Source organism: Homo sapiens, chromosome 22 (genome assembly GCF_000001405.40).
Source record: "Homo sapiens chromosome 22, GRCh38.p14 Primary Assembly".
In the NCBI taxonomy this organism is placed as follows: Eukaryota; Metazoa; Chordata; class Mammalia; order Primates; family Hominidae; genus Homo; species Homo sapiens.
Genome location: NC_000022.11, coordinates 32,843,569 through 32,869,560, shown reverse-complemented (window position 1 = coordinate 32,869,560; position 25,992 = coordinate 32,843,569). Strand labels below are relative to the sequence as shown.

The window sequence follows — 25,992 nt, the reverse complement described above, 5'->3', positions numbered from 1 at the left end:
GGTGCTCGTTTGTGAAATGGGAGTTGATGACAACCCTCACCTCCTAGGGCAGTTGTCCTCACCATGGATAATACATACATTCAGTAGAGTGCGTGGTACCTTGCAGAATCTCGGTTGATTCACTTTGATATATTTTTTTCTGGTTGCAAATGAAATAGATGTTCAATGCAGGGAATTTAGGAAAGAGCCTGTGAGAGAGAGAGAGAGAGAGAGAGAGAGAGAGAGAGAGAATATATATAGTGTTTCCAGCCCTTTGACTTTATAGTGGAGTAGCTGTGCCTTTGCATTTAACTGCCCTCATCCCCCACCTGCTCCCACTTCTGAACTAAGCTGCCGCCCTGCAAGTCAGTGCTATCATCCCCAGCAAGCTGTGGCCGGATGCCCTGGTGTTTCATCAATGTCCCAGTGTGGTAACACTGCTGTTGGCTTTCTCAGCAGATCCTTCAAGCCAGACTTCATCCTGGTCCGCCAGCATGCCTACAGCATGGCCCTGGGGGAAGACTACCGCAGCCTGGTCATCGGCCTGCAGTATGGAGGGCTGCCTGCTGTCAACTCTCTCTACTCCGTCTACAACTTCTGCAGCAAGCCCTGGGTGGTAGGTGACAGGGCAGGCTGACCTGGAGGGATCTGGGAGGCAGTGGGTGGCCTCCCACTCTGCGACAAGCCCACTCCCCAGCATGGAGGCCTCAGTAGTAAAAATTCTTATTTAAGCAACTGAACTGAACTTGGATCCTAGGGCTCTTGTTGGAATTGTTGCCTAACAATTATATTAATTTTATATTTTATATATTATTATGGTAAATATTTATAGGCCGGGCACGGTGGCTTATGCCTGTAATCCCAGCACTTTGGGAGGCCAAGACAGGCGGATCACCTGAAGTTGGTAGTTCGAGACCAGCCTGACCGACATGGAGAAACCCCATCTCTACTAAAAATACAAAATTAGCCAGGCATGGTGGCGCATGTCTGTAATCCCGCTGTAATCCCAGCTACTCGGGAGGCTGAGGCAGGAGAATCGCTTGAACCCGGGAGGCGGAGGTTGTGGTGAGCCGAGATCGTGCCGTTGCACTCCAGCCTGGGCAACAACAGCGAAACTCTGTCTCGAAAAAAAGTTTTGTAATAAATAAATGCATATACGTTAATATATACATGTTATATATTATACATGTTACATGTAATATATGATATATGATATTACATATATGTAATAATTGATCTTTGTAATATATAATATATAATACAGTGACAATATATGCTATTAATAATATATAATAACAAAACATGTTATTATATAACATTATGATATGGTGTTATGTTATAATATTAGTCATAAAGATGCACCATATTGTTTTATGAACATTCTATCATTATTGTTAACAGCAGACTCCATTTATTGAGCACTTACTATGTCCCAGAAAACTATGCTACCTGGCACTCAAACTGTCGCTCTCGTGTGAAGTGAGTGTCAACCCTTCATTTTACAGAGATGGAAGCTCAGCTTCAGGCCACTTAAGGAACTTGCTCAGTGAGTGGTGAGGCCACAATTTAAGCCATCTCTCTCTCCAACACCCAACATTTAATTTCTCTTCTTTTATTCCTTAGTTTCAGTCATTCATTTGATTTATTTGAGTTTCCATCCAAATGTTACCTGTAAGAAAGACTTCTTAAAATACCACTCCTCGCCAGACACGGTGGCTCACGCCTGTAATCCCAGCACTTTGGGAGGCCGAGGCGGGTGTATCACGAGATCAAGAGATCGAGACCATGCTGGCCAACATGGTGAAACCCCGTCTCTACTAAAAACACAAGAATTAGCTGGGCGTGGTGGCGTGCACCTGTAGTCCCAGCTACTCGGGAGTCTGAGGCAGGAGAATTGCTTGAACCCAGGAGGTGGAGGTTGCAGAGAGCTGAGATTGCGCCACTGCGCTCCAGCCTGGTGACAGAGCAAGACTCCATCTCAAAGAAAAAATACCACTCCTCCACTCGCTCAAGTACTCTCAAATCCCTTACCCTGCTTTATTTTTTTCCTAGATACTTATCTCCACCTAGAATGATAAATTTATCCATTCATTTGTGCATTATCTGTCTCCCTGATTAGAAGTTATTCGTTCATGTAGCAAATACTTCTTGGGCACTTACTGTGTTCCAGGTGCTGTTGTAAGTCCTAGAAACATAGCAGTGAACAAATCAGACCAAAATCCCTGCCCTGTGGATCTTACATTCTAGTGAGCAGGGGCATGTGCGGTGCTTTAATACTTATGCCAAATATGCAATATGTCCTATGATCAGTGGCAAGGGGGAAGATCAAGGACAGAAAGAGGATAGGTAATGTGGAGGCTTGGGGTATGTAGAAAGTGCTCTATGAAGCTCATAGCTGTCTGGTCTGTGGTGTTTTGCTATCTCTCTGTGTGATCACCTGGTGGTGTAGGGTGGTAGTTGAGAGTGTGAGCTCTGAAGCCAGATTCCTAGGTCCAGGCTTCTCCACTTATGAGCTGTGTTACTCGAGCAGCAACCCCATTAACCTCTCTGAACTTAGCTTCCTTATTTGGAAAGTGGTGGTAGTAATAGCGCCTTCCTGGTAGGGTTATGATTTAATAGATGAAAACGCTTAGAATGTGGCTGGCACAAAGTACACACTCAATAAGTGGTAAAAATTTTCACTGCCTTAGATACCTGGAACAAGTTCCATGTAGAGTTGGAACACTCAGTACTTACTGAATGGCTACATGCATTAATTTAATAGGTATGGATAGAATTTACCACTATTGTCATGGCCCTGGTCTCCTTCTCATTCTGCCCTAACTGGGCTTTTTGGCCAATGGCATCCAAGATTTTCGAGTGCCACTGTTAGGAAAGGGTCCTAGATGGTGTTAGCCCTTCCCCACCTTTTATCACAGTTATCACGATAGTAGCAACCACAACTCATCAGCACTAGCCGTGTGCTATCCTGAGCCCTTAACGTGCATATTGTGTTTAATTCTTAGCACCCTTATGAGTAGGAGTTGCTAATATCTCCATCTTACAGATGAGGAAACTGAGGCTCACATAGCTAGTAGAAAGTGGTAGAGCTAGGCCTCTTCAAAACTCATGTGCTTACCTGCGGAATCACTCTCCCTTTCTGGACTCCAATTTCCTTGTCTGCAAAATGAGGGACCCCACACACACATACATCGTTTTCCATATTTCTGAGTTCTCTTAAACCCTCGAAGTTGACTCCCTGTTGTGCTGCATCTGAAGGCTATACCCCAAGAGTTTGCAGACCAATCTTGGGTGGATGCAGAAAGTTCCTAGTTACTCTGTTTTCAGTGTCCAGGCTCTTAGTATTGAGTGACCTCCAAGTCAGGTTGGCCACTCCTTTAACCACTGGGCATCCACATGGGACCACAAATTCCAGTTGATTCCTTTATCTTGTTCGGAATCTGATTTGCTCTTCTCTGCTTATATCCACCAGCAGCTCTCCTTCACCTTCTGGGTGAATTCTAAGCTTTCTGGTCAGGCCTTTAAGGCTGGTGGTCTGTGATGGATCATGCTTCCACCTCGTCTCTCATCATCACCTGCAACTGACGCCACAGCATGGCAGCTGCAGAGGGTCTCCAGCATACATTAGTCTCAATGCACACCCGGAGGGCCCTTTCTCCTTCTCTTATGTCGTCTGCTCCAGGGGATCATCCTGACTCCCTACTCTGTCCCCCTTCCAGGTCCCTTCACCCCCTATGCTTCCCTCCAGCAAGATATTAGTGTCACAGCCATGCACCTGCAGCCTGTCTTCCTTCAGGCCTTGCCCCCATATTCAGCTTGTTGCTCCAATAATAAAGCATAGCGACAGAGCTCACCTTTGAGCTCCGGAGACAGTAGCTAGTATCTGGCAAAACAAGCAAGTGTTGAAGCAGGAGGAGAGCAGTGGGAAGGGATGTGGCTTGAGCTGTTGGAAATGAGAGGGGTTGCAACAGCAGAGAAAATATTTATTAATATAACACCTAGCATTTTAGCACTGCTGTGGACAAAGCACTGCCTCTGACACACTGTATCCTTACAACAATCCCATGAGGTTGGATCTCCAGTTTACGAGTGAAGAAACGAAAGCTCAGAAACCTGAATTGACTTCCCAGGTTATACAGCTAGTAAGTGGCAAAGCAAGAATTTGAACCCAGGAAGGCTGGATCCACATCTAACACCATCAATTACCATGCAGCGCTGCCTCTCTAGAAAGAAGGTATGGCAGGCAAGGAGCAGGGCATGAACATCAGCAGGTGGAGAAGGACATGGTGTGAAATGCTGAGGCTATAGTAAGTGCTCATTAAATATGGTTGGGCTGAACCCAGTGTTCTGCCTACTTACTAGGTCTTGGGCAGAAATGGAGGGGTTAATATGGCTAGATGATGGAGAGGATGAATGTCCAGCCAAGGAATCTGGTCTTTATCCTATAGGCAGGGTAGGATAGCACCTACTGAAGCTCGGCTCAGAACAGTCAGATGCTTGAGGCCTCAGATCAAGTGGGAGGTTTTGTTATACTGGGTGACAATAGTTGATCAATGTTCTCTCCTCTTCTATCCTAGTTCTCTCAGCTCATTAAGATCTTCCATTCCCTGGGTCCTGAGAAGTTCCCGCTTGTGGAGCAAACATTTTTCCCCAACCATAAGCCAATGGTGAGTGCCCTTTTTTACTCTGTTTCTTTGCATGATGCGGAATGAATACAGATGACTTGTCCTCGGTCTCTTTGGATGGAGGAGGTGGACTCTAGGGGTTGTACACTGACCACGCAGACTCTAAGGCGGAGTCACAGTGTCCTGTGGGAGTGCCTGGATTTCCTAAGGGAAGTCGTCTCTCCAGGTGAAATTCAGGCAATAGGGCAAATAACAAAGGTGAACCACATTCCTTGGAACTTGGAGATTTTCAGCAAATCAGGGGACACGTTCTGGGGGCATGTTAGAACCAGAGGCTGATTATAAAGGTAAAAGATGTTTTCAAGGTGGGATGTTGTTTTACTTGAGCCTTTTGTGGAACCTGATTTCAACTCATATTTTAATAAAAAGCAGTAATATTAATATTTGATTTGCATTGGTTGTTGAAGGGCAGTTTCCTTACATGTCCTCTTCACTTTCCAATTTCTGAATGCACCTGAGATCTCCTCTGGGAAGCAGGGCTTAGCTCAGGATATGTGGTACAGCCTCCCATTTGGAGGATACCTGGGTGGAAGAGGTGAATGTCTTTCTGAATGAGGTGAAGGGTTCTCCACCTGAAGCCAGAAAGTGTTGGGGGGAGGAGCTCTAAGCAGCAGGAAAGAGCCTGCAACATGCCTGCTTGCATAGTTGATGGTCTTCGTAAACTGGTCAAAGGAATTCAAGGCTGTGACCCTGCGCTTGGCCTTGCAGGGAATGCGTCTTTGGGAACAGAATAATGAATAGAGTATACCATAGTCCCAGGTGGGGACTTACTGTGGCTGTTTGTAGAGTCCAAGCTCAGGCTTCTGGGCTAGACAGTCCTGTTTGGAGATACTGATGGGTAGGACTGCAGATTTCAGGAGTAATCACTCTAACCAAGCAGAATTTCTATTGATGATCTTTCCCCTGTATCTGATCGGGCAAGAGTCACAGAATCCAGAACATGCTGGTTGAGATAAGAAGGGCACATGTGAAACCCAGCATATCCCCAAACCCTGGATTTTTCTTACTGTATGCATCCTTACAGTGGGGAAAATTCAGAGTTCATTATCAAACTAGCCTGAATTTGAATGCCAGTTCTGTCTACACACTAGGTCTCAGGAAAATGACTTTATCTCTGTGAGCCCCAACTTCTTCAGGTAAAAACCGTGGATGATTGTGGAGCAACCTCATCGAGTAGTCAGGATTTCATGAGATCCTGTATATAAAGTGCTGTACCTGGCATATAGTAGGAGTAGCTTTAAAACAAGGGTGAAAACCTAGAACGTTGTCAATGGTGGGATGAAAGTCAGGCGAGGGGTCTGCAGCCAGCCCAGCCCATTGACAGTGAGAGGCCCTGCTGTATACTCTGAAAGGAGGTTGTTATAAGCTCTGGGAAAAGGTCACCAGCTGTCGTGAGACCTCATGAGTTCCTGGTGTTCCCAACTAGGCCAAGCCATACTTGGAATTTCAAGCAGGCAGTTGACATCAAGGACTGCTGTTTGCAGGCCGCCCCTCCCCACCTCCACCAGGTTGGGATTCTTAGGAAGAAAACAAGGAGGGCTGAGTAAGGACTCCAGTCTGGGGGTACTTGTACCACCAATAGGTGATTAGGTACAGATATATTAATACATCCAGATTCAGCAGAACTAGGGAGGACTCTAGCAATAGAATCAGGGAGCAAAGTCAAGGCAGGGCACCTCTCCTAAGATTCCTTCTGCAAGGGAAAAGGACTGGAGCAGGGTGGGGCCAGGCCATAGCGGTGCATGGAGGGAGGGATGTGTCCAGGCCTGGAGCTGGGGATAGACTTTCAAGGCCTGCTGGTGTATACATAACTCCCCGTGGCGTCAGAACACAACAAGGCAAGAGACAGCAGATGTGTGATAGAAATAAAACCACTTTACTGTTTAGAATAAAGGACACACTATAAAAAGTGAACATTATGCAACATTACAAGACAATATACATTCACGGAATATAAAATTCATAAATAACATGGAGGAAAACTGTAAACAGTGCTACGAAATTTAGCAACAAATACATTCCTTCTAGACAGGGTTCGAGATCTCTTGTTGGTTTCTCTCCATCACTTCTGGGTTTCAGGACAGCAGACTGGCTAAAGGGAAAGGCGGATGCTGGGAGAATCTAAGAAGCCTCTACCCCCAAAGCAAAAACTATTCTCCAAGTTCTCCCCTTCCTCTCGCCTCCAAAGAGCCAATTTGGAAGTTGTTGTCACATCCACCTCCCCTACTTTCCATTTTGTTTTGCTTTTGCCATCAGATTTTTATAATGTTTGTCTCTCATAAAAATACTCTAGTGACATGTTAACCTTAGGTAGCCAGAAGCCAAACACTTGGGTGCCATCTTGGGGTAGTCCAGATTGTCAATTGTCACATGCAAGACAGAGGTCTGGGGCATGGAAGGGTAGTGTCTCCTGGGGGCCACAGTTTGCCCTAGACAGGGCTATTCCAAAAAGTCATTTGTTTCTTTAATTGTTCAAGAACCATGTTGCCACCATGAGGCAGGTCTGGAACGAGGGGAGGGTAAAAGACAGGAGTCTCCCAGTATTACCTACCCTGGACAGAGCAGAGCACTGGCCCGAGAGCTGAGAGCCTGAGCATGGAGCTTCCTTGATTGGGAGGCAGAAGAGATGCCCAAAGGAGGAAGCGAGAACTTGGAATTGTATCTCCCATGGCCCTGGATTCTTAGGAAAATCATGGCTTCCCAACTGGATGGGCAGCAGGACTTGGGGTGAAGTAAATGGTAGACTACCCAGGGCCGAGTGACACAGAACAAGAACATGAATGTAGTTTAAACTTTTTTCCTACTCCAGGAGCCATTGGGATTCCAATAGGGAGGAGGCTGGAGGAGTCTCAGTTACTAGTTCCTTCTATTTCCCCCAATTCACCAGTCTAGCTGCTTGCCTAGAAGTATTTTCCTCTCCATTCCACTGCAGAATTTGATTCAGGAAAATGGCGGCATGTGGGTTTCATTTTTCTCTTAAACACAATGTACACATATTACAGCCTACACATGACACAAGATTTAGCAAAATAAAATGTTCATGATATGATTGAAATACAGAAGTGTCTCAGCTACATAAATGATTTTAAATTATACAGTAAGTGAACGGGTGAAATAAACAAAGCTATAGCTTATAGAAAGCTCAAAACCGCCCTCTGACATCGCTTTGCGAAAGACCCTTCTTTGCCCAGGGCCTCCTCACCAAGGCCTAACAGATGGGGATGTGGTTCTGCTAATTTATCGACTCCGCAGGGAAACTTCAGGTGCCTCACACTCAGCCTTCACCCAAGTTCCTCCTTGTGTGAGAGAGGCTGACCACACCAGGGAGTGCGAATGGCCAGATGCCTCACAGAGAAGACACTGATGTCCACTTGTGGGAGGGAACTTGTGTAGGTTGGTCAGGGGCCCCACCATGCGAGACCTTGAGGTTAAAATAAGGACAATCCCAAAACATCAAGTCTGGGCTCATCCCTTCAAAACCAGTGACATGCTGGCATCAGCTTCTGCTCACACTGCCTCACAAAGAAGGCCAAGCCTCCCATTCTCCCCCTGCCAAATGGCATGACCACAATGGGAAAGGTACACGGTAATGAAATTGATCCCAAGGAAACCCGATGCCGGTACTCTCTTCCCACTCTGCGGTTCTGCCAAGCACCTTGCCTGGGCACTTGTGTGTGTGCAAGACTCTACAGTGTGTTGTCTGCTGCTTTTTTTTTTTTTCTTCTTCTGTTTCAATTGGCAGCTCTGTTTCCTAAAGTGGAATGAACTGAAGATACAAATACTAATAGAAGATAAATACCCATAAGCTGAAAAAAGAGACAGAGAGCAATCATGTTCAATGTCACCATCCTGCCAACCCCCACTCTGTAAAATATACATTATCACCTACTCTCAGCATCTCACTTTTGACACTAAAACTTAAAATAATTTTATTTAATAGGAGAATTTATATTATAGTTTTATTTCAAAAAAAAAAAAAAAAACACAACAGAAACCCTACAACTGGTTGCAAACTCAGGCTTTCCCCAGTGACCAACAATTTTAATTCCAAGAGGTGAGGATCTCAGGAGGTGGCATTCACCCACCAGGGAGCTAGGGAAAGGGAACCAAGCTGTCTCCACACCCAGGAGAGGTGTCCCTCCAGCCAAGGCAGGCAGGACACTCTGCAGCTCTCCCTCCTGTGCCCAGGCCCTTGACTACACTCTCATCTGCCATCTGAGCTAAGCCAGGAAGGCAGTTAAAGAAAGGCCCCCAAACATGAAGCAGGGACAAGGAGACGGACAGGGGTCAGATGACCCATGATAGGGAAGAGAGGGTGCTGACGGTGTTCAGAATTTCAAATTTTAATTAAAATGAAAAAAAAATGTCAACTTGGAATGTCATGATTTTCTTCAAACAAGCAACGACAACAAAATAGAAGAGATTAAACTATTGGCATATTTAACAGCATTGAACAGAATTCTGTGTCCTGTAAAAAAATTAGCTTATGTCCCCATGTGGGTATATGCAAATGTGTATACAAACATATCCCCCTAGGTGAGCTAAACACTATTCTGGAAATAGTATCCTCTACCCAAATCTACTTGGCTATATCTGTGGATAGTGTATGGTGTGTGTATTTATCCAATTTACATAAAAGAAAGCTCCTGGCCAAATCTACCAAAGCGTTTTCCAGGAGGAAGTCTGGTGGGAGGCAGGGAGAGGAAAGACATTCATCTCAGTCTTTCACCTGAGCTTTTGTACAAGGCAGGCAAATTGCCTCCTGACCTCAGGCAGATGTTTAAGTCTTCACCAACTAAGAAAGCTCTGTTATTCTGGCCTGGGTGCTTGCTCCAGACTCAGGAACATCTGGTCAACACAAGCATCACTGGGCTGGGGAATTGTGTGTGTGCTGCATCATCTCCGACTCTCTTGTAGTTCCTTCCTTCCCTCCCTCACTCTTACATGCAGACACAGACAGACACAGTCTGGTTGGGACATGCAGTGGCAGCTCCTGGTGTATAACATCTTTCACACACCTTGAGTCTATCTGCTTGCTGCCTTTGACTGATCCTGAAATGGTTGGCCTTTCAGCAAGTTCCTTGTCTGTGTCCTTTATGTATTGGAGGAGAAGGGCAAAGGGAAGAGGGTCTGGGAGATGGTGAGGTGGGGAAGAAGCAAGAGGGGTGGGAATTACAATCCTCAAATGGAGTAGTTTTTCATTTTTGTTTTCCTAAAAAAATAGAGATTATATTATCACGAAGAAGAGGAATACAGGTTCCTCATTCTTTCTGGCATGGCACCAGAAATTCCCAGGTGGAAATGAATGATGTCAAAACCAAAAAGAAGGGGCAGGGTGGGGCCAGGAGGATAGTTCCCAATAAACCCCATATGACAGCATAGACCTTTCTTTAAATGTTCCAAGTGCTAAATTTGCAAGAAAACAGGCACTAATTTCATTGTCATCATCTGGGAAGAGTTAGTGTCCAAGGGAAGCTCAGCGGGAAGGGAGGGAAGTGAGGTGGGGCAGGGTCTGGCGCTCAGGGGTCTGTGGCATTGATGATGCTTTTATCCGGGGGGGCCCATCCTCGGTACCAGCTGCAGTAGCCGCCCTTCTGCCGGATGCAGGCGTAGTGTTTGGACTGGTAGCCAGGGTAACCGAAATTGGAGAGCATGTCGGTCCAGAGACACTCGTTCTTGGAAGTCACAAAGCAAGGCAGGTAGTAGCAGGACTTGATCTGCAATTAGATAACAGGCAGCAGTTGATGGACTCTGCCATGGTATGCCCAGGCCTGAGGCTACCGAGCCTGGATTCAGACCCTGGGGCCACTGCATGGGAAGCCTAGCCACATCAGTCCCTCAGTGATCATAATATAAATAGCACTAGCTTGAGCATCTGCTGTCTAACAGACATTCTGATAAGTGCTTTGATATTATTCTCTTTAATTCTTATCACAGTTTTAGGAGGCTCTGAGAGGTTAAGTAACTTGCTGCAGGTCACACAGCCAGTAAGTAGCAGAATTAGACTACTGAGAGGACTTTTTCGTCTCAGGTGGGAGATCTCAGTTGTTTTAGGGAATCGAGGAATTAGAAAGGTTAGAGCATAAACTTTGGAGTCTAGCTGCCCTAGGTTGGAAACCAGATTCAGTGAACTGTGGGACCTAGGGCTAGTTACTTAAGTTCTCTGAGCTCTCATCTGCAGAATGGAGATCATAGTAATTAAAACCACACAGGACTGTTTTGAAGATGAAGTGAGAGAATGGCCCAACTTCCTCCCACAGCAGGCAGGCTGCACCTTGGCCCTATACTTGGGTCAGGGGGATGGGCCTGGTAAAGAGAGACCTTCTGTAGCATCTGGTCTCTGCAGTCCTGGGCCCATTTGCCTACCTGGGGTGGGGTTAGCGATGAGTCAGCTACCAGGGTGAGCCCACTTGAAACCACTTGGGAGAACCTGCCAGTGTCAGGATCCTATACCTCCAGCCTTGAACTGCCAGGTGGGGCCAGGGACTCAAGAGCCCTCATGCCCCAGCAGCTTCCAAGTGGTCATCATGGAGGCAGCCGATTACAGCAGAAAGGCATTCTTCCTTCCCTGCCTTCCTCACTGCCCCACCTGGGGCAACAATCCTTACTATATCTGCTCAGACCTGCCCCTCTGCCCTGGCCTAACACATGCATACCCTTCCCAGCCGAGGGCCTGGCACCCAGTGCATTGGGAGCTGATGTTTCTAGGGCTGCAAGTCAGCACCTCCCCTCCTTCCCCCAGTGACCCCAGAGCTTACCTTGCAGTTACAACCCAGGTGATACCGATAGTTCAGCCCCTTGCGCTGGGAGAGGGTGAGCTGGTCCCACCTCTCCACGAAGTTGCACAGCCCCGTGTACATCTTGCCATCATAGACGCGACCTACAGGAGGAAAGAAGAAAACAAGGAGAGGTTGTTTTGTCCAGAGCCTAGCCCAGAGAGAATTCACACCTACTATGTTCCCACTTAGCCCAGGCACTGTGGCTGGGTACTTTTCAGACCCATGATTTTATTTCACCCTACCCAACACCTTTTAAAATGGACTGTAGCCCCATTTTCCAGATGAGGATAATGAGGCTTGGAGAGGTAAAGTGATTTGCCAAAGGTCCCAAGCCCATTAAATACTGGAGCTAGGACTAGAGGCCAACTCTTCACTCCCTTTATAATGATTTTTGTTTTTGTTTTCTCCTTTACTACACTGACTGCCTAAAGATGAATAACTTTCAAAGACGGGCCTAACAGGTCGAGTGTGAGGTGGAGAGGAACAGATACTCCCTTTTTATTTACAGTAAAGTTGAGAAGCTACAAATTAGGAGATTTCCTCCCCCAGGTGAGTGGTGGAGCTAATTCCAAAGTCCAGCCTAAGTGTAGGAGCCTCAAGCTCCTAGCACTGGGTAAGTGGGATGAATTCAACATTAGAGACTCCTTACAATTTACTGGACATTTGGTGAGTCAACTACTCCGTATGTGTTCTTCTGAAGTCAAGAAACAGTGGACCTTGGCCAAACCCTGGCCTAGAAGCTAGAGTTGGCCATTACCTGTCAGCAGGTACTGGTACTTGTTGACCTCCAGCTTAAGGCCACAGAGACTCTCGGAAGCTTCCGTATGGATGTACTGCACATGGGGCATCTTGGTGAAGCCTCGGTACATCTGTGGGCAAAAGGAACATCATGACTTCTTCTTTCCCAGTTTGGACACCCGTATGATCCCTAATCCCACTGCTGGGTATGTATCCAAAGGAAAGGAAATCGGAATATGGAAGAGGGGTCTGCACTCTCATGTTGACTGCAGCAATATTCACAATAGCCAAGATATGAAATCAACCTAAGTGCCCATCAACAGATGAATGGATAGACAAAACCTGGTATCTATACCCAATGGAATATGATTCATCCAGAAAAAAGAATGAAATCTTGTCATTTGTGGCAATGCAGCTGGAACTGGAGGTCGTTTTGCTAAGCGGAATAAGCCAGGCACAGAAAGACAAATACACCATGTTCTCACTCATGTGGGAGCTAAGAAAGTAAATCTCATAAAGATGGACAGTGGATTGGTGGTTACCAGAGGCAAGAAAGGTAATAAGGATTGGGGCAAAGAGATATAATTAATGGGTACAAAAATACGAGTACGCAGAACAAGTAAGACCCAGTGTTCATTGAATCAGTAGAATGACTACAGTAAACAATAACTTATTGTATATCTCAAAGTAGCTAGTAGAGGATAATTCAGATGTTCCCAGCATGAAGAAACGATAAATGTTTAAGGTTATGAATATCCCAATTACCCTGATTTGATTACTATACATTTTTGAATATATCAAAATACCACATGGACTCTCAAAATATGTCCATTTATTATGTATCAATAAAATAAGAGGAACACAGGAGAGGAGTCTCAGTACCCAGAAGGCTTGCTGACATTGGATCTGAGGGAATCTCGCTCCCCTATTCAGCTGTCCAGTGGCCGGTCACTGATCTACCCACCCCAGGGCCCCCTTCACCCCAGATGAAGCCACCGATCCTCTTGACTAGCCAGGTTGGTGCCTTCCCAGAGAAACCTTCCTGTGCAGCCAGCCATACCCCCCATTCCAACTGCCCCACAACACTCCTTCGGCTACACATGTCTGACATCCCAGCACCTTTTCAGAAATCCAGAGAAGTAGCTGTGACAAAGGTCCTTTTTCTTTGTCAACCTTAGGACCTGAGTCCCGTGAACTCAGCCAGCATTCTCATGATATCTCTGTGACACTTTCCAGCCCACAAAAACATTCTCACTCACATTCTCCTTGCAGTATCCTTAAAAGAGCCCTGGGAGGGATGTATTACAAACCCCACTTTATAGAAATTCTATTTGGCTGGTGAACGTTGAATTCAAGCTAGAAATTCTCCATGTTTTTTATTCTTCTGAGCGTCTGGTGAAAGCATTGGGTTCGTTTATCCCAGATGAAGCACATAAATGTATCTACAAAGTTCAAAGAGTTTTAACTGTTAAATACTTTATAATTGTTAGATTGAACCACGTGAAATTGCTGATATTTGGCTATTTGTATCTACGACATAATCTAATACAGTGGTTCTCAACTGGAGGCAATTTTGCCCCCCTAGGAAATATTTGGGACATGTGGCAATGTCTGGAGACAATTTTGGTTGTCACAACAGTTCGTAGAGGGTAGGGAGGTTGCTAAACATCCCATAATACTCAGGACAGCCCCCAGAACAAAGAATTATCCGGCCCCAAATGTCAATGGTACTGAGGTTGAGAAATCTCCTTTAATATTAGCCCACGAATCACCATGACAACCCTATGAGGTAGGAACTATTATGCCCATTTTATAGATGAGGAGCCTGAGTCACAGGCAGGCTAAGTAGCTTGTTAAGGCCACACAGTTGGGAAATGGCAGGGCTAGGATTCCAAGCAGAGGACTCTGCCTTCAGAGTCCATACTCTTACCCATTATCTTAGACTGGCTCCCAGGAAAGCCTCAGAAGTCTATGACCAAGGTCCCCAGAAGCAGGCAAATGCTATTTCCATTTATGGCCACTGTGCCTCCTTCAGAGGCACAGTGTGTGCCCAGAGTCACTGGGGTGAATGAATGTAACAGAAGCTGAGTCCGCTTTGTGATTCCAGGTCAAGTCCATGAGTATTACACAAGCCCAGTGTGCCAAGGCGATACTGTGAACTGTGAGATTTGGTAACGGGGGCGGTGGGGCACCAAGGTGTTGCACAATTCTGTTATCCCCTCAGTTCTCAGCGTACACAAGCCCTGGACTGCTGGTGGTCTCTGGGCTTGTCCCAAGGGTTTATAATAGGAAAATGCCTCTACTTTACTTCCTGGCATTTGGTATTAATTTACCTACAGTAATTAATACAAAGCCAGACATCTCTTCATTGGTGTCTCTTCTAAATGCCTCCCATTTGGCCTGTGAGCTGGCGTTTTCTCATCTTTTAAGTGGTGACTGGTTGGCGGGGGTAGGTGGTCCACAAGACCTTCATAGCATAACTTGGTCTGTTGGACCTACTGAGTTTGGGCGCCCCTGCCTTGTTAAAAGCACACATTGTTCTGATGGACTCAGATGGTCTTCCTTCTGAACCTCTCTTCTCCCCCAAGGCTTGCCAACTGAGCACGGTAACGCAGCCAAGTGCTGGAAGAAGTGCCGTCCACACTCAGCATTCAATTACGCGGTGGGGGCGCGGGGTGGGTAGAGTCACGATGATGACTTCTTCTATGTGAATGGTGCCTCTCTAGCCTTAACAGGAACCATGTTTAAGCGTGCTGCTGTATGCCTGCCATGGAGTGTGGCCTTCGAAGAACATCCCCTACCCTGACTTCTGTGCCGAGCAACTTCTTATTTTTGTGTGGGTGTTCCTTGAGGTTTTGGCAAATGTTTCAACTAAGCACTCGCTCTAGGTCTTTTGGACCCAGCCCATGGGAACCTCATTCCTTCTGCGTCAGTCTTTCCCCTTGACTGCCCTAGTGCTTCGTGGGTGAGAGAATGAAGCCCCTGGTTACAGTCTGGTCATTTGAACTGCTCAGTAAGAACTCAACTCATCGAAATCAGCTTGGCACCGCAGCTACTTGGAAGTTTGAAGGAACCTGCATTTTAGCTCCTAGCACTTGCCTAGAGTCGAAATTCTGACACATTACAAATGACTGGCTCTGACAAACATAGCGCTGTGTTTTAGGGTCAATTCTGAAAAGAACAACATGGCAAAGGTAGATTCTACTCAGTTGTGTTTTCTGTGTAATAATCCTACCTTGATTTAAATATTGATTCTAAAAGTATCATGTCTGTAATCATAGAGATCTAGAATTGGTTTGACAAATTTAGGAGAGTTATAATAGGTTTATAATGTCCTGACATCAGAGAATCCTAGAATCTCAGAGTTGGAAAAGATGTTAAAGGTAATCTAATCCAAACCAATGCCATGGAGATCAGTGGTAAATTCAGGTTTTGGAGGCTGACAGCCAGAGTTTGAATCTTCAATCTTCTCTGCCACCTGTGTTCGCCACTTGGAAAGTTACTTAACCTCTTTGGGTCTCAGTTTCTTCATCTGTAAAATGGGTCAAAGCACTTCTTAGGGTGTTTGAGAGAAGCAAATGACTTAGAATAGCAGTCAGCCCACAACATTCAATAAAAGTTAGCTTAGAACAAGTTATACTGAAATTCGTAAGGAGAGGAGGAATGAGTTTGGTCCCCTTTCTCCTAAGTCCCTTCCTCAGCTCTTAACAAGAGTAGTTAAAGCTGGTTTAGAACTTCAGACATAAGTGGGTTGTTCTTTTTCAGCTGGGTTCTGCATGCCTCTGGGCCCCTCTTCTTCTTCTTGGTAGCATCTACACAAAGTTCCAAGATGTTAGCTTCCCTTGGAGTGAAGGGACAAATAAAGTAAAAAAGAAGTTTCTGAGTCTGGGGACATTTGCATATTTCTTATGAAATGTCTGGCCTTCACTCTACATTGACAGCATGAGTTGCCTCAATGATTCCAACTATGTCTTGCATGCCTACCAAAGATCAACACTGTTCTGGATGCTGGTGTACATCACGGACTCATTTAAACCCACAAATTCTTATTTACAGACCGACCGAGCTATCACGGCCATGATCTTTCTCTATACAGCAATTTGTCTAGCAGGACAGGCAGAGAATGTAGAAATGGAGCCAGTCTCTGCAGAGGGCTGGATGAGAGTCCTAAGGCAGGAAGAACCACGGGCATTGCAAGAAGAATGGTTCCCTGTGGGCTGGGGGTCAAAGATGCTTCCAGCTAGAGCTTCAAAGGCGAGACCCTGCTATTGCTCATTTGGTTAGACAAACCACTAAAGGAAGGAAGTCCCTGGAGGTCTGCTCTGCCTACAGTCAGGACATGCAAAGCACATGACCAGCGGGTCTCCCCATGGGACCCTCCCAGGACCAGCTGGGACATAATGTCCCCCACGTTCTGTCCCCTGCAGCCAGCTGGAGAGCATGTCTCCGCTACATAAACAATAACTCCTGGCACAGTGGATCGGTTTCTCATGGTCCTGATGGGAGATAAGGTCCCCACAGCTTAGAGCAGCCAGTTCTGGAAACTTTCACCTTCACCCCACAGCCCAGCTAATTTCCAAGTTTGGGATTGCAATAAGCTCTCTCAACATTCTAACACCCTGCTCCCTCACACACACACACATATCGCAGGTCTCTGTGTACTGAAGTGTTCCTGAGAGATGGGTCAGAGGCTCCAGAGTTAGCAGACGGGAGAAGGTCTGCCTGCCTTCCATCAGTGAGAGAAGAGAGAGGTCAGACAGGGCGGCTCGGAGTCTCAGGTTCTCCAAGTTCCTTTAGTCCTGCTCTAAGGAAGCCCTTGCTCACCCCTTCTGACTCTCTAGGGTAGACTGTCTAATCTGCTAGAACAAAGTCTCCCAGGGACCAGTGCCAAAACTCATGCAGGCTTGCCTCTCTGGCCTCTCTCTCTTCCCTCCTACAAAGATTTTTCTGATACACCCTTTGCAGGATATTACAAGTCCAGCCCTACACTGCTGGATGATAAACCAACAAACCCAAACTGACCTCTTTTTGTTCCCTGGGAACTAAAAACATATGGAGTGGGCATTTATATACCCCAAAGTGGGTAGGAATGATGAATCAGCCTGCTGCTCCATACTGTATTATCTCCTTATAGGCAAAGACCCTGTAGTTTTGCTCAGGTTTGCCACTTTGTGGCCATATAATCTTAACAGTTATATGACCTCCCAGGTCTCAGTTGCCTCACCTGTCAAACAGAGGACAAGGTGTTATCTATTTTACAGTGTTAGTATAAGTACTGATCTATGCAAAGACCTAGCAGAATGCCTGGCACTAAGCAATTGCTCAGTAAATGTTAACTGATGCCAAGTCTTATCATAATTATAAGCAGTGTTATCTTTGTATCCCCAGTTCATAGTACAGTACTAAGCACAGAGAGAGGGTGGGAAGGAAGCACGAGAGGATGGATGGACGGACTATTACTTCTAGCCTGTATCTTGTCTGACTTGCAGGCTGGTACCTAGAGACAAGCAGATTCCAGTGGTGTCTCTGGATAGAAGGGCACTGACCAGTTCTATGGATCATGATACCCTCTATGGAGGGTCAGAGTGAATGAAAGGCATGAGATGGTGACTGATGATTAAGATGGCAGGGAGATTTGGGAGTCATATAAAGAACACAGGATTGGGAAGAAATTCCGATGCCTCAGCTTGGGGATCAGATCTGCCCTTAGTTAAATGCTTGACTCTGAGTAAGTCATTTCCCCTTTGCGCCTCTGTCAGAAGTAAGACGAGGGATCCTACATCTAATTCCCAGCACCATGATTCATGAGCTCAGGCGAAGGATGGTGAACCGAAAGCCTAAGCCCACCAGTCTGGGAGTGGGAGTGTGTCTTCTAAGCCCACCAGCCTGGGAGTGGGAGTGTCTGATGCTGATAGGCTAGCAAGTGTTGTTTGGTCTCTAAACAACCACCCGTGGCTGGTCTGACACCAGCAAGGGGGAATGGGACATTATGTCCACAGGAAGGGCCTCTGGTCACCCTGGTCTCCAGGCCCTGATGGTAGGAAGGAAACCAGGCAGGCTTAGGAACTGCTGCCTCCCAGCTATTTCCCTCTCAGCTCTCTGCTGACCACCGAGTGTCTCGTAATGAGGATTGTTCCAGACCAGGCAGGTTCGTGTGTTTTCTGAACCTCTGCTTTGGTCTAATATGCTTTGGCATTCCCGCGCTGTCTGCCAGAGGTTGCAAAGTGGGCTTTTTGCGTTGTTGTTGCTCTTGCTGGTTCCCCACCCCTGCCCATTTTTCTCTCCCCAGGGCTGTCTGAAGACATAAGCTGGTCTCATGACCAAGCTTAGGCAGCCAAGGGCAACTGGCCAGGGCTGACTCTGGACATTACATAACCAGAAGGCTGTGGATGTTTGCAAAATTGAATCCAAAGCAACAGGTTCCACAAAATTAGTACATCCAGCCTCAGGACACAGGAATAAGAAAGCCTGGAGGTTGGCCTTGGGGATGGTTGGGTACCACCGTGGGCTGCGTCACTCCTCCACTCCCTTCTACCTGGACATTGCGGCTTGTCTCCTCTGGGGAGTTTCCAGGCCTGTGGGGTCTCACCCTCATGCCCGTATTAGACAGATAAGCATTCACCAAGTCACTTTTGCATGCCAGGTCCTACCCTAATTGCTAGGGATGCAAATATGAGCAATAAGTTAAAGGGCTGGACAGTTCCTGTGGACCTCAGCACACCCCACATTGAACTTCTGATGAGTCACACACATACCTGCCTCTTCTCTCCCAACCTGACTCTAGTTCCTAAAGATGGAAACTGTATCTCCCTCACGGCCTCCCTGGCTCCTAGCTGGGAGCTCTGCATGTAGAGAGGTGCTTACAAAGATGGGGTGATGAACCAGTTGCTGAGTTATTCAAGGTGAAGCCCCAGTCTTCTGTGCTAAGGCAATCACCAGTACACCCTTCCATTGTATACCACCCGCTCCTCCTTACAAGTAACATGGCCCGCATCCCAGGGTGCTTAGAATGCCTGAGCTAGAGAGGATGTTAGGAGCACCAAGCCCAACCCCACACTGTTAACAGGTGGCAAAACTGCGGCCCAGGAAAAGGGACAAGCCCAAGGTAAGCAGGCTATTTAGGAGTAGAGGTGAGACTAGGAGGCAGGTTCTCTAGATTTCAAATCTGGTGTTCTTTTTCTTAAGGGCATACCTCCTTCCTGTACTTCATGATGTTCATATCCTCAGTAATATGTTTAATGATAAGAATATGCTTAGCAAACATTGCTAACTATCTAGGATGCAAGAAGACAATCAGCTGGGAAAATAGGGAAAGAAGGTGAAGTTCCTGCCTTGGGATGAGGTTCCTGTGATCAGCACAGTTTCCATGTAAAGATTTGAGGGCTGTAAACCTAAGCTGTAACCTCAGTGGCTGCATGAAACCTGTAAGCACTGTTGAGTCCCAGATAGTCAGAGCTCAGAAGAGTTCATAGAGATGATCTAGTCCAACCCCCTCATTTCACAATTGGGAAGATTAAAGCCCAGAGAGGGGCAGTGACTTGACCAAGGTCTCATGGTTACGAGCTAACAAGGCTATCTGCCATCTGGCTCCAGAGCTCAGCTTCCTAACAAGTGCCTTGGAGTGACTCCACCTGCATGGGCTCTTGGACAAGGCAGCCCCATGCCCCCTCCCTACCCATCCCTTTATGCAGCCTTAGCAGCTCCCTCTCCAGCAGGCAGAAGGGCTGGGTCTGGCTGGTGCTTAGACACACACCCCAGTTCCAACCCACTTTGCCTCCCTTAGCCAGGACTCTTCTGGCAAAAACCCAAAAACCTTCCCGGAGCCAGGGTGATGACATTACCTACCTTCATCTGCTTGATGGTGTAGACCAGCGTGCCGAAGGGCCCCTCCTTTACCAGCTTCTTCCCCACCACCTTGGCCCGGATCACTGCAGAGACAGAAGGAGACAATAAGAGGTTAGGAAGGCCTGAACCACATCAGGAACAGCATCTCAGGGCGGGCACGCTAGCCTCTGTGGAGCCTGGAATTGCACTCTTACCTTGGAGCCAACTGGAATAGATGATTGTGTTTACAAGAGTGGGAATTCCCTGGGGTGAGAGGGAGGTTGGAGGAAAAAGAAACAGCCACCATTCAAGTTAATTACCCCAAATATTCACAATTGCCAGCTCCAGAACTTCCAAGGCTATAGTCAACCCCCGCCGACCCTGAGGATTTTCTTGACTTTGTGACTTTACCATAATCCAAAACCTACTTCTCCTGTTAGAGCCATTGTCCCCCCTCCCTTGTCCATCTGACAATGCCATGGTCTCCCAGATCTGTTCTCTTTCCACTAGGACCCCTTTCTAACCACCTCATTTGGGGCTCTTCCTTTGCATGCATTAATTCACCACATCTTGACATGTCTACAGGGTTGTGGTGCACCCTAGCTTCCCACAGTGCCCCCAGTTAGCATTCTGATTGAGCCCTTGGTATCCAGTGCTTAGATAGCAAGGGATGCAATAGAGTCTGAGCTCTATGGGGATGTGGTTAGAAGAAGGAGCAATTGGGAGTCGGGGCTCAGGAGCCAGACAGAACTGTTCCAATCTCAGCTCTGCTGTTTATGGCTATTGCGACTGTATGCAAGTAAGTAACTTTGTTTCTGGCCTCCTCTTCTATAAAACAGGAATCATAATGATACTAATCTCTTGAACTGAAGGGATTAGTCAAGATGACAAATGTGAAACTCTTGATACTGTCTTGGACATAGTTTGCACTAGACAAATATTATTAATATCATCATCATTATCATCACCAAAAATGAAATGGGCTAACCATGGAAGGGCTGTTCCAATGAAAACAGCTCCCATTTATTGCACACCTACTATGTGCCATGTACATTTCACTTATTTACTGCTCTTAACTGTCTTACAAGGGCAGTATTAGCATCCACATGATCTAGATAAGGTAACAGACCAAGAAGTGAAACCACTTCCTCTTTCTGAGCCTCAATTTTCTCATCTATAAAGAGGGTATAACTCTCTTTACATCAGGGAATTGGAATCAGGATTGAACGAAAGATCTTATGAAATTTCCCACTACAATGTCTGGCAGAAAGGATTTACCCAGTAGATACTAGTTAACTATGAATACAAAAGTAATTACACCCAGTGGGTTGAGGGCTGAAAGAGAGGCATTTACCACATGCACTGGGAACAGAAAGAGGAGAGGACTTGACTTTTAGATTCTACAAGGTTGTGCTTCTCTTTCTACGTTGTGTGAAAAAGAAGCACCCAAGAGCTGTCTTCAGGTATTTGTAAAATTGGCACATGGAGGAGCAAATGGACAGGTCTTGAATACCAAAACTGGAAATTGCAGAGAGTAACATTCATTGGCTCAACCAAAGAAAAAAATCGTCTAATAATAAGAACCAGCAACAAAAGGCAGGGGGGCTGCCATTAGGGCAGAGAGTGCCTCTATCAGGGGGTGTGATGAGGGTGCTGGATACTTCCATGCTAAGACCTCAACAGGAATTGGAATGGGGCTTGCTTATGCAGTCATACTTTGAATTACAAATTGAACTCCTTCAGCCCTGAGATCCTATCAATCTTTCTTATCTCAAGTTGCACTTAGCCCAAAAAGGAGTAGATACTCAATAAATGCTTGTTAAGTAAAATACCCTTCACACACACAAACACAAACACACACACACACATTTTGGTAGCTCCATTATCCTTCCTCATTGTGGATGCTCCACTATGTATCCCAGTTATTTGACTCTAATCTCTGTTTTTAAAAAATCTTTACTAAGAACTGATTCCTCATCCATACTGGATTCTGTCTTGTTTCTTTCCAAATGAGCTTGGATCCTACCCTTGCAGTCAGACATGAAGTCAGGGTTCAGATGAATCAATGGCCCCTTCAGACCTTCCCTGCCGGCGATGGCAAAACACACAGTCATTGGCAAAGTGAGCAATTTAGCGGAGGCAGCTCAAATTAGGAGGAGGCGAGTGGTTGTTTCCAAGTCTGCTGTAAAAACGAGAGGTTGGCAAGATCCCAGGCCAATGTCTGTCAAGATCCTGCATCCACCTCTGTTTCTAACATTGCGGTAGTATTCTCGGCGACAAGCCAGCCTCCCGGAGGCCCCGGGGACTGTTTCCTCCATATTAACTCTCACAGGCAGGTTATAACAGCTTCACCTCCGTGCAGAGGCATGTCTGCCAGCCTTTACCACTGATTCTTCCTGAAATGATTTGGACCCATCTTCTCTGCCTCATTAACACAGAAGGTAAACAAGGGAGCGAGTCTTGGCCGGGGGGTGTGGGAGGGGCAAGGCAAAAGGGATTCCTTTAAATAGCAACATCCTGGTTCAAAAATGGCTTGACTTGATTTAGACAGAAGATGTCACAAGCAGACCTGCCCCATAAAGCTGAGTACTGCTGGAAGCTTCTGCACATACAACCAGCCAACTCCTTCCTTACCCCAAATAGCCTGAGCTTGGAACCTTTTCATCTGAGGATAGTTCAGTGAAAAGAATACGTTTTTGTAGTCAGGAAGCTGCATTGAAGTTTGGGTTCCACCATTACTGTATGATCTCTCTGGGGCTCTTTCCTCCTGAATCTCTCTGGCTTTCTTAGCCCAGTGCCTCTCATGTGGCTAACAAGTGATTTGCTTATTACTATTGGAGCAGCAACATAGCATTGCATTAAAGAGCCTGGTCTCTGGAGCCTGAGAGCCAGGGTTCAAATCCCAGCCCTGGTGCTGGGTGACCTTCAGGAAGTTGCTAAACCTCTCTATGCCTTGGTTTCCCAATCTGTAAGATGGGAATGATGAAACAATGCCTCATAAAGTTGCTGTGAGGGTCGTATTAATATAAGCGCTGAGAACAGTATGTAGTCCATCCCAAACCTCATGTGTTTGCTACCACTGTTATTAGCATTATCACCACTATGGTGATGTCTATTTTTATTCCATCTTAGGGCATACCATCTTCAGACTTCTAACATGCACTGTAAGCTAAGGCCTGGGAGTTCTCCCTAGGATGAGAAGAAAGGCAACCTCATAAAAATATTCTAGCCTTACAGAACTTCAGGGAGAGGTGGAGAAGCACAGATGAAGTAGTCAGAACAAGTATAGGAGGTATTTTGGGATCAGGAGTGCCTACTCTATCACATGTACCCATCCCACCTTATCACCCATGTGTAACCCAAGAATTGCCTACTAAGACCAGCCAAACAAGATCACAGTCATGGTTCCAAAAGTCTGAGGCAGAGATGGCCCAGTGAAGAGGCCACATCAGTGTTTTCCTTACAAAAACAAAACTTCACTAAACTGAACTAAAATTAAGTTACATTCTGCCCTCCAAATAGATTCTCAAAGTCCTTCCAAAGTAGAATTGCTGGCCAACCCCAGATCCACCTATTTGGTTTGTGCATTAATCTGTCCGTATTTGCTCCAGTTTCTCCTCTGTAATTCAAATGTGTGCTATTTTGTACTCTCCTGTTTGGCAATCAGGGTTCTCCCGAGGCATTCGCTGGCCCAGGGGCCACAGGGAACAAGGGAAGTGGGGTGGGAGGAGGTTGTGCTTTTCCAACAACAGAAGACACTTTTCAAACTGGTAACTGGCAGCATGTCTAGCCATTCCTTCCACCTTGTTGTGGTGGCTAGAAGCCAGCTTTACAGATGGGCCAGGCTGGACACAGGTTGTCTTTATTCCCATTCATGCTGGAGTATGGCCCCTACACTGTCTACCCAGTGCCCCCAACAATCAAACCAACATAGGCATGAACTAGGTTGGTGTCTGGAACATTGGGTTGGGTGCTGGTGAGGGTGACAACAAGAAATAGAAGTCCTATTTCCCGCTTCCACTGATGGCTAGTCTAGTGGGGAGATAAGGTTTAAAAGTTTATGGCTGGCCGGGTGTGGAGGCTCACCACTGTAATCCCAGCACTTTGGGAGGCTGAGGTGGGCAGATCACGAGGTCAAGAGATTGAGACCATCCTGGCCAGCATGGTGAAACCCCATCTCTACTAAAATACAAAAATTAGCTGGGCATGGGGCCGCCTGTAGTCCCAGCTACTTGGGAGGCTGAGGCAGGAGAATCACTTGAACCCAGGAGGTGGAGGTTGCAGTGAGCCGAGATTGCATCACCGTACTCCAGCCTGGAAACAGAGCGAGATTCCATCTCAAAAAAAAAAAGTTTATGGCTAGAGGACTAGTCTCCAAGGTACAGAAGCACCAATCAGAGAAGGGAGAGGTGAGGCTCAGTGTGAATCTCAGCCTCTGAGCCTCTCTTGTCTCTCTAGAATTTCTTTTGCTCTTAGGAAGAGAATCTGGGCTTCTAGGGATCTGGTGGTCAAAAGAAGCAAGGAAGAGGCTGGGTGTGGTGGCACATGCCTATAATCTCATCACTTTGGGAGGCCAAGGCAGGAGGATCACTTGAGCTCAGGAGTTCCAGACCAGCCTGGGCAACACAGTGAGACCTTGTCTCTATAAAAAATAAAAAATTATAAAAATTTAAAACAATTAGCCAGGCATGGTGCCGTGTATCTGTAGTCTCAGCTACTCAGGAGGCTGAGGTGGGAGGATTGCTTGAGCCCAGGAGTTCGAGGCTACAGTGAGCTATATCTCATGCCATTACACTCCAGCCTGGGTGACAGAGCAAGACTCTGTCTCAGCAAAAAAAAAAAAGGAAGAAGAAGAAACAAGGAAGAGATTGATTAAGGAATAAGCAGTATTTCAATGTAAAAGTATCTAAGAAGAAACTAACTAGGATGTGTGAACTTATATAATGGGCACATTGATCTATAAATATATATGGGGCCCTCTTGAATATATCATGCGCCTGAGAAGCCAGGCATAGAGGCATATATCTCTATTGAACTGTCTTTGCTTCCTTTGAATATTTGTTTGGGCAAGAGTGCTAGTAAGAGCTTACAAAAGCAAGGCAAACAAGGCACACCTCTTCCATAAATATACCTTCATGCTGCCTCTCCCCACCTCCAGCTCTAGCAGTATGGACCACAGTGGCACAAGTTTTGAACAAAGAACAATTTTCCAATGGCAATTGGGATTGAGTTTCCAGAAAAGCTTACTGGTGTGTCTCCAGAAATTGCACATGTGCTGTTCATCAGCATAAACAGAGTGGGGCAAGATACCCTTGAGCTGCCCTCCCTCTCTCTCTCTGCTTCTATCCCCCATCCAACCATTGTCAACCAAATCCAGACCCTTCTTCCCCGACCTAATGGTTGGACTTTCCTACTGGCAGACTAGAAGGCCGAGCAACAATGCTACCCATTTGGCTGGTCTGGGGATCAAGGACTCCTTAACTAATTAATGTATACTAACTTAGGAGTCCAGGTTCCACCCATGGTAGCATCAACGGAAGAGCAGTACAAATCCTCTCCATGACTTAGGAGTTGATTCATGCTATCTAGCAGGTGAGATACCACCGCCACCCCACACACACACACAACACCCCCATTCCTGTCTCTCCAAAGACCCCATAGAATGATTTTGCTGCTTTAAGGCATGGTTTTTAAAAGGACAGCAAGGATAAGTAAGGGACGTCTGGTTAGTGGGTAGACTGCATTTCTTCAAATGCAGAAGTCACTGTTAGTGTCAGTCCCAGGGAAGGGGCTGCTCTTCTGATGGGACCCCAGCAGGCAGGCTCTAGGTAGGAAGAAAAGCCTGGACCATGGGCTCGCATCTTCGGCCTAGACTTGGAGGAAAAGAGGGATCTGGAAGTGTTGGAATGATGCCCTACCCATGAAAACACACCAAAAAGGAGGAAAGAGGGATCCCTGTCACCCAGCTTGTCTCACGGCCCCTTCGT

At 46.4% G+C, this 25,992-nt stretch overlaps 2 protein-coding genes across 19 annotated transcripts in view; one reads left to right on the top strand and one right to left on the bottom strand.

Moving 5' to 3' along the window:
- Positions 1-25,992, top strand: part of SYN3 (synapsin III) — a 550,562-nt gene that overhangs the window by 188,821 nt on the left and 335,749 nt on the right. For 11 of the 18 annotated variants that reach the window (NM_001369907.1, NM_003490.4, XM_017028961.3 and 8 more), the window contains 2 exons: positions 436-595; positions 4,557-4,646. In NM_001369907.1, the coding sequence (NP_001356836.1) occupies positions 436-595; positions 4,557-4,646 (250 nt within the window). The remainder of the gene's footprint in view (positions 1-435; positions 596-4,556; positions 4,647-25,992) is intronic. The other 7 variants (NM_001369909.1, NM_001135774.2, XM_047441527.1 and 4 more) reach the window with 1 other exon arrangement.
- TIMP3 (TIMP metallopeptidase inhibitor 3) overlaps positions 6,520-25,992 on the bottom strand; it is a 61,337-nt gene continuing 41,864 nt past the window's right edge. Inside the window, exons 2-5 of the mRNA NM_000362.5 lie at positions 20,027-20,109; positions 12,201-12,312; positions 11,423-11,544; positions 6,520-10,381 (exon numbers count right to left, since the gene is read on the bottom strand). Of these exons, the coding sequence (NP_000353.1) occupies positions 10,184-10,381; positions 11,423-11,544; positions 12,201-12,312; positions 20,027-20,109 (515 nt within the window). The 3' untranslated portion in view covers positions 6,520-10,183. The remainder of the gene's footprint in view (positions 10,382-11,422; positions 11,545-12,200; positions 12,313-20,026; positions 20,110-25,992) is intronic.